General features: G+C 44.8%; 1 protein-coding gene and 1 non-coding gene across 39 annotated transcripts in view, besides 1 other annotated feature; one reads left to right on the forward strand and one right to left on the reverse strand.

The window, feature by feature from the left end:
• NAV2 (neuron navigator 2) overlaps positions 1–12,248 on the forward strand; it is a 776,366-nt gene that overhangs the window by 408,079 nt on the left and 356,039 nt on the right. The window lies entirely within an intron of this gene.
• Positions 3,701–4,253: an enhancer, noted in NCBI's record as "H3K4me1 hESC enhancer chr11:19778561-19779113 (GRCh37/hg19 assembly coordinates)". NCBI's record gives its function as "activates a minimal SCP1, AML or CMV promoter by ChIP-STARR-seq in primed H9 embryonic stem cells {active_cell/tissue: H9 hESC(primed)}" and the evidence as "EXISTENCE:reporter gene assay evidence [ECO:0000049][PMID:30033119]".
• On the reverse strand, positions 6,690–6,769 carry MIR4694 (microRNA 4694). The gene has a single exon (NR_039843.1). It is a non-coding gene; the product is annotated as a microRNA 4694 (primary transcript).

The raw sequence follows: 12,248 nt of genomic DNA on the forward strand, positions 1-12,248 counted from the left end.
CCTTCCCCCTCAAGCCTCTTTATCTTATTTCCACAGATTTTTTCTTACCACCCCCACCCAAGCATACATTTTTTTATATTTTGATATCTCTGAAATGGGGATGAATTGAAGGGTCATTATGCATATTTGTGGTAGTAAGTCATAGACTGGAGACATAGAATTCCTCTTCATTGTCTAAGGCTCAGCCCAGGCAGTTCCTCTTTGGGTTTAGGCTCTCTTCTCTGGGTTGCAGTAACCTCCAGGCTACTCTGTCATTGCATTAGTCAGACTATACTGTATTTGTCTGCTCATTGGTCTCCCCCTGCACGAGGACCTCCTTGAGAACAGCAAATGTGTCTTTCATTCCTTTGTCCCCTGCTCCCAGTAGCCCAGGCTCCAGGACAGTTGCTGAAGTCAGAACAGGTGGGGGTGGACCCAGCCCCTGATTATCTTCTGCCCTCTCCACTAATAGGCAAATTGAATTATTTCCTCATTCCAGGCCCATGGAGAGCTCCTTTAAGGAGCCCTTGGCGGGTGGGGCAAAGCATCTCACCTGTCCCAGCTTTGAGGTTAATGCCCATTTTAGGCCATGATTGGTGTATTTATTTGCTCAGAGGGAGGGTGGGGAGAAAGCTTGGTGGGTGGAGGTTTTGGTAATTCATGCCCGCATGACTATAAGAGAGCTTCCAGGAAACCACGTTACCAGCATAGCAATTGTTTTCACTGCATTTCAGAATGACATTCAAGAGTCAACAGAAATGCTTGAATTTCAACTTTACAAAAGGGCTTGCTAGAGATATCGCCTTTCCCCTCTGTCCCTTTTGCTTAGTCCAGGATACAATGACCATGAAAAAAGTTGGCCATTTGAGCTTTTCAATGCCCTTCCTCCCAACTTTTCCCCTTTCCCTACCTCTTTCTGGGCCTTTCTCTTTTTTCTGAGTTGATATTCCCTTATCTTCCTCTGCATGACTTTTAACTTTGCTTTTTATTAATTAACTCCAGAAGGAATAAGGTGCCTGTTACATGGGAACACACTGCACAAAGTTGGGAGAAGGGAAGATCATCCTTTCTGGCTGGGAAGGTGGGTAAAGGCTTCGTGCAGGAGGCAGCTGATTCTTGAAGGCTGGGTAGGATTCAAACAGATGAAGAAGTGGTGAAGGAAGAGGATAAGTCATTCCAAGCCTAGGCAGGAGCAAGGCATGGTCAGGAAGGTGAGGGCTGAGGCTGAAGCAAACATTTATTTATAATGTTTACAGACTACCTGCAGTAAGCTGGCAACTTTCTTAAGTGAGTAAACCAGATGTCACTCAGGTCCCTGGTTCTCCAGCTCATGTGTCTGCATGGGCTTTCTTCATTTTTACCCCATGACAACAACCCAGACTCTAAACTCAATACATTTACAAGTTTGAACCAAAGGAATCCATGATTATAAAAATATTGGTACCCAATTTAGATTTGACTGGTTATTTTGTAGAGGACATGGAGGATTGAGCTCATCTTGTATACTTCACTGCAAGCAACTGAAAATATCCATTAGAGGTTTCTGTTTTCTCAGAGAACTCCCCTTAGCCTACCGTGGTATGGAGGAGTGTTGCTGTCTCCTTCCCTCGCTTACTTCCTTGCTGGCCCTTTTCTCTCCTGGATTCTTTCCTGTGAACTCTGCATTCCTCACCCTTTGTTAGCCAACTCTTGCCACCGTCACCCACAACTTGCAAACTACAGATCCATTGTGTTAATCGACAGGATCAATGATCCAGATCATTGTGTCCAGATCATGGCCCTTGGGATCCACTCTTCTGCAAGAGGTTGATTTAGCTGTACTTTCCAAACAAATGCAATGTCTTCCCCAAGAAAATTCTGATGGCGAATGTAGTCTCCCTGTTGTTACGTGTACATTTTCACATTCAACTCACCACAACAGTCCTTCTAATATCTTCATTTTACAGAGTAGACAACTAAAAATAAGAGAATTGGCTTGCCCAATGTCACACAGCAGCCAAAATGGTGGAGGTGAAATCTGAACTCTGTCATTCTATTTTTTTAAAATGTGTAAGAGCTACATCCCATGCATGGACTGTGAGGAAGGTGACTTTGATGGAAGAAAGGCTAGACATGTAGGTTGTGACCTGTATTTGTTTCCTATGGCTACCATAAGAAAATACCATGAACTGGTGGCTTAAACCAACAGAAATTTATTATCTCACAGCTCTAGAGGCTGATGAAAGTCCAAAATCTGGTTGTTGGCAGGATTGGTTCCTTCTAGAGCCTCTGGGGAAGGACTCGCTCTATGCTTCTCTCTTAGCTTCTAAGGTCGCTGGCAATTCTTGGCATTCCTTGGTTTGTAGATGCATCACTCCAGTCTTTGGCTTCATCTTTACATGGTGTTCTTCTCTTCGTGTCTCCTGTATCTTCACATAGCCTTGTTATAAGGACACCAGTCTTTGGCTTTGCAACCCAATGTTGTGCTAAACTCCTATTATTCTCAGTAGGGAAGGCACCAGGTTCTAGAGGCCAAAGAAGAGACCCAGAGCCAGCAAATACGATATGGAGTTTTATTAGGGACTTACCTACAGGGCAGAGAATCTGGTGGCAGCAGTCTGGACAGGACAACCACCTTACATATAGAAATGGTCCAGCGGCAGCAGGCTGGACAAGATAACTGCACAGCCTAGTGGTGGCTGGCTGGGCAGGAAAATCACAACTGCTTTCAAAAAGACTGTAGTTTCTACATCACTTAACAGCCTCCCCTTAATGACCTCCACGTGGCAACTTTCATTTAACCTAGAGCTCAGAGCCTCAATCTCCTGTACAGCTCTTGTTCTATGGGACGGGATGGGGGCTCAGATGTTCCTCATGGGCAAGGAATGAATCTGTGGGTTGGTTACGTCTGGATTCCCTGGCTCAGAACGCACATTCAGGTGTTTCTGCCAGACAAGGTCATTCTAAGGGTATGCTTAAATTATTGCTATAAGGGGCACTTACCCTACACCCACCCTAATCCAGGATAAACTCATTTTAACTAATTAAATCTGTAAAGATCATAGTTTCAAATTAGGTCATATTCTGAGGTTCCAGGAGGACATGAATTTTTGGCAAGACATTATTCAGACCAGTACAGGACCAGTTCATGAAGAGTCTAGAAGGTATTACCAAGAAATTTGGACTGCGCGCAAGGGGCAGTCATGAAGGGTGACTGAGGGAAAGAATAACCAGAGTCAACCTGAAACCCCCAGGAATCTGATTGGCTCCGTGTTCTTTCTTTCTCACCCAGCTCCCTATGCCTTGTTGCTTTATTAAGGAATTAAACAGGGTGGGCGTCCATCAGCAGATGAGTGTTTTTTGAGAGTGGCAGCCTTTTCTTCTTTTTGGAAACTTTGCATTTGCCTCTGTTGTGCCTTGGACTAATCAGTATGCCGCGTGAAACTATTTAAAGCCTGATGCATTAGTCACAACAAATCTGCTCCTGCTGGGAGTTAAAAAGGCTGATCAGGGCGCCAGTTTCTTTTTGGTGAGCACAGTTTGTTTTTCCCGTTACTTCATTTGCATCCAGCCCCTTGGATTTCTCGGACTTCACGCACAGAGCCCCTTTCCTGAATTGCCCCTGGTACAGAGAGAGCTGCCAAGGCCTGGTCAGGCCACCTTTGAAAACCTTTCTGAGGACAGAGGCTGAGACAAGGCCAGGGACCAAAACAGGAGGGGCTGCTGGGCTGGACTGAGCTGGGCTGGGCTGGGCTGATCCACGGGGAAGACCCTGATGCCCAGAGAACACACTGTGCCAGCTGGAAACTGTTGATAAAGCCTGTGGTGACCACTTCAGCGCCCTGCTCTGACCTTTTCCCATCTAATGTGGGGCTATTTTAATGTTGTTTTGAAGCTGAGAGAGCACCAGAACCTTGGGCCTGCTCTCCTGGTGGAAACCACAGGCTTCATCTGCCTTTGTGGTGTTGCCAAACCCTTGACTGTCCTATAAGGGAGCGGGCTTGAGAGTAACACAGTTGGCCTCAACGCGTGTGTGGAGGCCTAGGGCTCCTGTTTATTTTTAGCAGGAGTACTCAAGCAGCATGGCAGAGTTTCTCCATACTGCCTCATAAGGTGTCCTCAGATTCTGGGGCTGCAGGTTGCACAAGAGAGCAACCCTGGGGTGGTGACAAGAAGAGAGTTTGAATTTCTGAATTAAAGGCTTTTGCTCCTCTGCCTCGGGTTAACTGTGTGACCTTAGGCAAGTTGCTTGACCTCTCTGAACACCAGTTTTATCAGCTATAAAGTAGAGTGGGTAATTCCTCTTTATCGTAAGATTCAGCAGCATGAACTAAGAGGATTTCTGGGAAAGTGCTTCATAGGCTGCATGGTGTGTGATGGGAAGGTATAAGGGACATGAATAGCCCTGTATCTGGTGCACAGTAACAGCTTACACTTATTGAGGGTATGGTATGTGCTATACATTGTTCTGGGTACTTTTCATGGATTGTCCTATTTAATCTGCACAAAAGCCCTAAGAGATACTGTTATAATCTCTATTTTACAGATGAGGAAACTGTGGCTTAGAGAATTTATTTGCTGAAGATCAAACAGCTAATTAATTGCCAAAGCCAAATTCAGACTCTGCAGCCTGCAGTCTTACCCCCAGTCTCTTGGTGCTGCCTCTCTCAGTGTCATCATTATCATTACCATCATCATTGCCCAGTTATTGGAACCTGGTCTTCGACAAACCCCAAAAATATTATACATTGTCTCTAATCCTCACAGCAGCATCATAATATTAACTCATTGTAATATTTACATTGTGGTGTAAATATTATCCCCTCCACTTCATAGATGAGGAATGTTGAGAATAAAGGGTTTTGTTCACTCCGTTTATTGAGCACCTACATCTCTATTTGAGGCACTGGGACACAAGAATGAACAAAACAGGAGGGTCCTGCCCTCATAGAAAGTATATTTTAGTGTGAAGGAACCAGGTGATGTAATACCTAAGCACAGTAATTTCAAGTAATACTAAAGGCAGTGAAGAAAATAATGTAATGTGACAAGTGATGGGTCAGGGAAGGCCTCTCTGAGGAGGGACTGTGTGAGATGAGGCTTGAGTGGTAAAAAAGAGCCGCATAAAATGTATGGGCAGTAGAGAGGGGCTGAAGGAGCTGGAGCTGGCGAAGGGTGGTGGTGGACCAGAGGAGCAGGAAGCAGCGACTGTGATTGCAAGTGGGGTGACTTCGTTATAAGAGGCAGTGCGGGGGACCAGGAATCCATCCCCACCAATGTATGGAAGGAGACATGATGGCCAAGGACAGGCCCAGGTGACTCAGGGAAGGGTGAGCTGAGCTGGTGGGCAGCCCCAGTGGTGGGTGAACTGAGCAGGTTGCAGGGGAGCGGGGTTCAGGCTTGGGGCCCTGTGGAGCCCTCTGCTATTTTGCTGCAGTGCAGTCAACTGACCTGGGGGATTGTGGGTTCCCTCCACGCCAGCTCGGGCTGGTTGTGGTGCTGGTGCATGGGGGATTGATGAAGCTGGCAATCGCCTTGTGACTAGACCCAGCTGGCTGCCAGAAAGGGAGCCAAAACCTCACCAGGGAGGCAGAGCAACTGCTTCTGCCCTTTTCCACAACCCCCAGGAGGTCATTGATCTTAATTAATTATCCCCCCTGAGGATTGTGGAGGAACCCTCCTGTCTACAGAGAATTACTGGTGGATATTCTAAAGAACCGAATAAGATCCCCACCACCAACTTCTGTCTTGAGAGAAAGAAGGTGCTTCTGTGCAATTGATCAGAATGAAATCATAGAACTTTGGATCTGAAAGACACTTTTTTTTTTTTTTTTTTTTTTTTTTGAGATGGAATCTTGCTCTGTCAGTGGCACAATCTCAGCTCACTGCAAGCTCCGCCTCCCGGGTCCACGCCATTCTCCTGTCTCAGCCTCCCCAGCAGCTGGGACAACAGGGGCACGCCGCCATGCCCGGCTAATTTTTTTGTATTTTTAGTAGAGACGGGGTTTCACCGTGTTAGCCAGGATGGTCTCGATCTGCTGACCTCGTGATCCGCCTGCCTCTGCCTCCCAAAGTGCTGGGATTACAGGCGTGAGCCACCGTGCCTGGCAAGGATCTGAAAGACACTTTAATGATAATCTTGTCTAACACACCCTAACTTTTAAGAAGAAACTATGGCTCAGGTATTGTTTGAATTTAGTGTTAGGAAAAATAGTCGGTGAAAGTCTTTCTGGGAAAAAAACAAAAACCAAACAAATGCACTTTTCCTGTCTTAGTAAACAGAATAAATCGATTGCTTGGTCAAAGAGAGGCCAGGAACAACATGGAGCGGGGCCTCTGGTGCTGGGTACTCCTGGGGTTGGCTCCCACATCAGGTACTACTTACTAGCTATGTTTTCTTGGGCAAATTGCTTTAAGTCTCTAATTTCTCAGTTTCCTGTTTGTAAAATATAAATAATAATGATATCCACCTCATGGGGTTTTTTAATGTGAACTGAAAAAATAATATATACAAAGTGCTCATCACATCCTGAAGGATCATTATTCAATGAATGATTGCTGCTGTTGCCGTTTGAGGCGCAGGTGCAGAAGACACAGATGAGTGGTGTTGTGGAGCATGTGGAAATGCTGGGGGTGGGGGGTAAGGTGGTCTACAAATGGCACTGCCGTTATCTTGAGCTCAGCCCTCCATAGCATCCTTCAAAGCTGATTTTTTTCTTTTTGTAAATTTCCAAATACATAGGTGTTATCCTGTCCATTTGACTCTATTTTCTGAGAGAGGCAAATGGATAGGATAACACCTATGTATTTGAAAAAGAAAAATACTCCCAGTTAAGTGAGAGTTCCAGCAGATGAATTAGGGTTTAAAACAGAACTGTATCCTCATTTCATTTCAAGGGTGGCCCAGCATATCTGCTAGTGTGAGCTTTGGCATTGCTCCTCTGAGAGGCAGGCTGGAGAATGAGACCCTCTGTCTAACCCAGCCATTCTAGGACCCTGTCCTTTACCCCATTCTCAGGCCCACTCCCAACCCAACTCCAGGGCAATCCAGTAGGTTTATAAGATGACAATTGATCTTATCATCCTACCAGCATCATATTATGGTTTAGCTGAAATAATACTGGACAGTGATTCTGTTATTAGTTATTTCCCTCCTGGCTTCAGGGGAGAATGCAGGCATGTTGCAGGAAAACAGAAGAACCATGCACACCAACCATCGACTCACAAGCTCTGAGAAGAGACCATTTGCTGGTGACGAAGCACTGACTTGCCCCTTTGCTGGGCTTTTCAGGGGCTTGGCTGGGTCTTACTATGCCAGGCTTCTTTCCCCTCTGTAGAATGGAGTCCCTATCTTCATGTTATGCAAACGGCACCTTTTCAAAATAAACTTTAGAGGAGTAAGAGAGAAGAATCTAGTGCCCTTTCTGAGAAGGAATTTAGCTAGGAGAACCAAATGTTGTCCCATACACTGGGTTAAAAAGAACCAGTTATGAACTACAAATGCAGTTGACTTTGGCCCTGAGCTCTATAGGGAAAAGTAGGGAGAAAAAATAGTAACGAATCAGCAGCACAAGCAATATTTGCTTGTGAGTTCTTCCAGTCATGGGCGTGAATGAGTAATTCTGTCCTGGGATCCTATTGCCTTTGCTTTGTGCCCCAAGGTATAGAGTTTGGAAAAATACCAGTGCTGGTGGTTCTTCTGTTTCGGGGAATAAAGAAAAGGAATACCCCATTGGGAGTGCTGTTCTTTGAAAACTGCAGCTTACCTGAGCCCTTTGTTGAGATGGAGGCCAGAATGAGTCTGAAACAGCTGGTGGGGAATCCAACCACAGGGATCACTCAGACCAGGACAACACTGAAGTCAAGTTTGCTATGGATGTCCAGAATGCCAAAAGAGAGGGCAGTCTGGAGGCCTTTTTTCTTGGGGGAGTTATTCACTCATTTATCTTCTTTTTATTAAGTACCTACCATGTACCAGGCACTGTTCTAAGCAGTGTGGTGCAAGAATGGCAAAATTTCTATTCTATGGAATTTACATTCTTATGGAGAGATGTAGACAAAACACGAGTAAACAAATACAAAAATAAGTTTATTTCAGTGAGCGACAAGTACTATGAAGAAAGTAAAGTTGAATGATATGCTCAGGAGTGACAGGGGCAACTTTGGATGAGGGGCTCAAGGAAGACCACTCTGAGGCAGCAGCATGAAAACTGAACAATCCACCAGGTAAAGACCAGAGAGCATGATCCAGGCAGCACAATAGCCAACACAAAGGCTCCAGGTGAGGACATCTGTGGCTTTTCAATCAACACAACAATGGCCAGTGTCACTGCAGCCTCATGAGTTCGTGGCTGTTTCAGCTTTACACCCAGCTACTGTAACCCCAACTGCGATGTCCACTGACGTAGCCATTTCCTAGGGGAGAGGGAGGAAGGGATGTCTAGAACTGCTCTAAGGACTACCAGAAATTACTGATTAGAGGACTAATCCTACCCTCATCCTCATCTCCACATTTAACCTACCATTGAGTTCTGTTGGTTCATGCTCCCGGTTTTCTCCTAGGTAAGTCCATTTCTTTTCATGTTCATTACCTTCACCCTGGTCCAAACCATCTGCATCCTTCCCCTGGTCTACTGAACCTTGCCCATTCTTCACACTGTAGTCAGAATCTTGTAAAACCTCAAATCTGGCTGGGTGCAGTGGCTCACGCCTGTAATCCCAACACTTTGGGAGGCCAAGGGGGGCGGATCACCTGAGGTCAGGAGTTCAAGACTAGCCTGGCTAACATGGTGAAACCTCGTCTCTACTAAAAATACAAAAATTAGCCAGGCATGGTGGCACGTCCCTGTAATCCCAGCTACCCAGGAGGCTGAGGCAGGAGAATCACTGGAACCCGGAAGGTGGAGGCTGCAGTGAGCTGAGATTGCACCACTGCACTCCAGCCTGGGCAACAGAGTGAGATTCCATCTCAAAACAAACAAACAAAACAAACCCTCAAATCTGATCATGTCAGACAAACCCACACACACATGCCGAATACTTCTTCATGACTCCCCATTGCTGTCAGCATAAAGATCCAAATCCCTACAATGATATGCAAAGCCCACTCTGTGCAAATCCCCAAGTTCTTCTCCAGCATGTTTCTAGACATTTGTGGCTTCATTTTCCATGCTCTGGCCACACAGGCTTTCTTCCAGTTGTTGCAATATGCTGTATTAGTTCTGGCCTCAGGGCCTTTGCAGAAGCCTTGGCTCCTAATCTTCTGTTCTCCTCCATGAGCCTTGGCCTCAGCAACTACTTGGGTATCAGCATAGCTGTTACTTCAGCAGAGAAGTCTTCTTTTTTTTTTTTTTTTTTTTTGAGATGACATCTCACTCTGTTACCAGGCTGGAGGACAGTGGCATGATCTTGGCTCACTGCAGCCTCCACCTCCTGGGTTCAAGCAATTCTCCTGCCTCAGCCTCCTGAGTAGCTGGGATTACAGGCGCACACCAACACACCCAGCTAATTTTTGTATTTTTAGTAGAGACGGGGTTTCACCATGTTAGCCAGGATGGTCTCAATTTCTTGACCTTGTGATCCGCCCGCCTCAGCCTCCCAAAGTACTAGGATTACAGGCATGAGCCACTACGCCCAGCCAGGGAAGTCTTTTTTATTCCTTAACATCAATCTACTCCATAGGGTCTTTTGGTTACCTGTCCTCAATAGCACTTCATATTTTCCTTCATACTTCTTAGCACACTTGTATTTACCTGCAATCTTCCTGCACTTGTCCATAAGCTCCAGGAGGGCAGGAACCTTGTCTGTCTGGTTCACTACTTTGTCCTCAGCACTTAAAAAGTATCTGGACCGCAGTAGATATGTGATATGTATTTGTTGGAGAAATGAAGGAATGAATGCTCACAAAGATCTTGGATCTTAAATGTTCCACTTGAATATGCTACTTGCTTTTGACAAAATGAAATAACAGGAGACTGTCTGTATTTTCTGTTCCATTTCTCTACCCTATAGAGATGGTGATTGATATCTGGAGTTTAAGAATAAGGCATAGCATGCAAGAATTCTGGCAGATGAACAACCTGCTTAGAAAGTCTGTTCTTGCCTTCGACTATCAGAACAGCATTATTTTCTTTGGCTCAAAGGAATCTAAGACTGTGTGTACTCAGGGAAATGGTGTAGACCCACGGTGTGGAGTCAGGGCCAAGGGTGAGACTTAAATAATAATTAAGTGAAAGAGGGTTGTGTGAAGCCTGGGGGCGACACTGCCTTTCTCAGTGGCTGCGGAATTAGAACATTCTCCCTTGTGTCAATGTGGAAGTGAATGAATTAGGCTCCGTTTTATGCTGTGCCTGGAAAAATACCAATCCGTACTCGCATAGTTTCTGAAAGCAAACCCCAAATGCCACTGTCTCAGCTCCATGGGAGACTGTTAAGGAAAAAAAAGAGGTAACATTCACAGACTATGGGAAATATCACTGAAGTGGAAAAAGATTAGCGTTGTTGTTTTTTTGTTTTTTTGTTTTTTTTGTTTTTTTTTTACCTTTTTTGAAGTTACATACCCCTTTGGTAATGTAACAAAACCTATGGACCCTCCTTCCCCTTCACTGCCCTGCCCACTGCAAAACGTATGGCCGTATAACATCTCTCTATCCATGGAGACCCCTCGGGTTAAAAATCCCAGTTAGTGGGTCTGACTGGAAATTGAGCAGAAATAAGCTAATAAGAGATGGCCAGGAATCTGAAGTCTAAAAAACAAAATAGAAGTAGTGCTCTGTAATTACATTTTTTCCATTCCTGAAGTTCTTCGTTTTTTAGAACAAGTGGATTGGCACAGGACGAACACGTGCCTTAGTGAAATCATGAATGATGAGACCTCTAGGTCTTAGAGGAAGCATTCCTGGAGGGAATCAAAGTGGCCAGCCACTCTCAGCCACTCTCAGCACCTTCCTGGATTTTAACTGATATTTTAACTGATAAGCATGCATTTTATAATTAAGTACTGCATAAGAAAAAGTATTGTAATGAAAACATGTGTTTATTTAATTGTACTAAATTTAGAGGTAAGAAACAAGAAAATTTTATTGTCCCTGGTCTGTAGAAAACAATTCCAGACAACTGGGAGAACTCAATTTGTCCACTGTGTCCCCAAATAAAAATGCTTCAACACAAGCACCAAAAAAGGAAGGGCATATTCCCAAGTAGACACAGATGTATTGTTCATGCTAACAGATGTGGTGTTAAGAAACTTGAACCCCTGGTTTGTTTTCTTATCAGTAAAATAGGAGAGACAAATGGAGAATTTTTTCCTTATAGGTTGTTGTGAGAATGAATATGAAATACTTCACATGTAAGAGTAAGCCTTCAGTACATTCTTTTTTCTTTTCTTTTCTCCAATAGCATCAGTGACATCATCATTCTTTATGTTATATGTGCGTGCATCTTGCATGAATGTATATATAAATGTCTCCATTTGATGTCTAATCATCTCAAACTGGTCATGCCCAAACTGGAACTCTTGGTTTCTCAAGTTCATCTCACAGACTGTTTCTCCCTTAGTCTTCTGCATCTTTGTCAGTGGCAGCAACACCTGCCCAGTTGTTCAAACTAAAAACCTAAGAGTCATCCTTCACTCCTTTCTTTCCCTCACACTCATATTCAGTTGCACATCTTTGCCAATATGTTGCAAAATTGATCCCTCTTCACCACACTCACTGCTACCCTCCCAGACACTACCCTCCTGTCATTCCTGTGCAAGTGTCCTGGATCTGACCCTCCTGCCACCACCCTGGACCCTGCAGTCATCTCTCCATGGTGTAGCCAGTGTATAGGCATTAACAGATTTACATCAGGTTGTTCCACTTGTTTGCTTAGGACCCTCCAGTGACTTTTATTTCCAGTGACTTCTGATAACACCGGAAATAAAATTTAAATGGCTTACAATTCTGTAGGTCTCTATATGAGAGATAAGCAAACTTTTTCTGTAAAAAGCCAGATAGTAAATATTTTAGGCCAAATGGGAGTCTATCACATCATCATCTTCTTCTCCTCCTCCTTCCTCATCCTTCCTCCTCTTCCTCCTCATCCTGTCCTCCTCATCTTCCCTTCTTTCCTTCCTTCCTTCCCTCCCTCCCTCTCTCCCTCTCTCCCTCTCTCCTCCTCCTCCTTCTTCTTCCCCTTCCCCTTCCCCTTCCCCTCCCTCTGTCTCCTTCTCCTTCTCCTTCCAACCCTTTAAAACTGGAGAAGCTGAAAGCTGTCCTTAACTGACGGGCTTACAAAAACAGGTTGAGGAC

Source organism: Homo sapiens, chromosome 11 (assembly GCF_000001405.40).
Source record: "Homo sapiens chromosome 11, GRCh38.p14 Primary Assembly".
Classification (NCBI taxonomy): domain Eukaryota; kingdom Metazoa; phylum Chordata; class Mammalia; order Primates; family Hominidae; genus Homo; species Homo sapiens.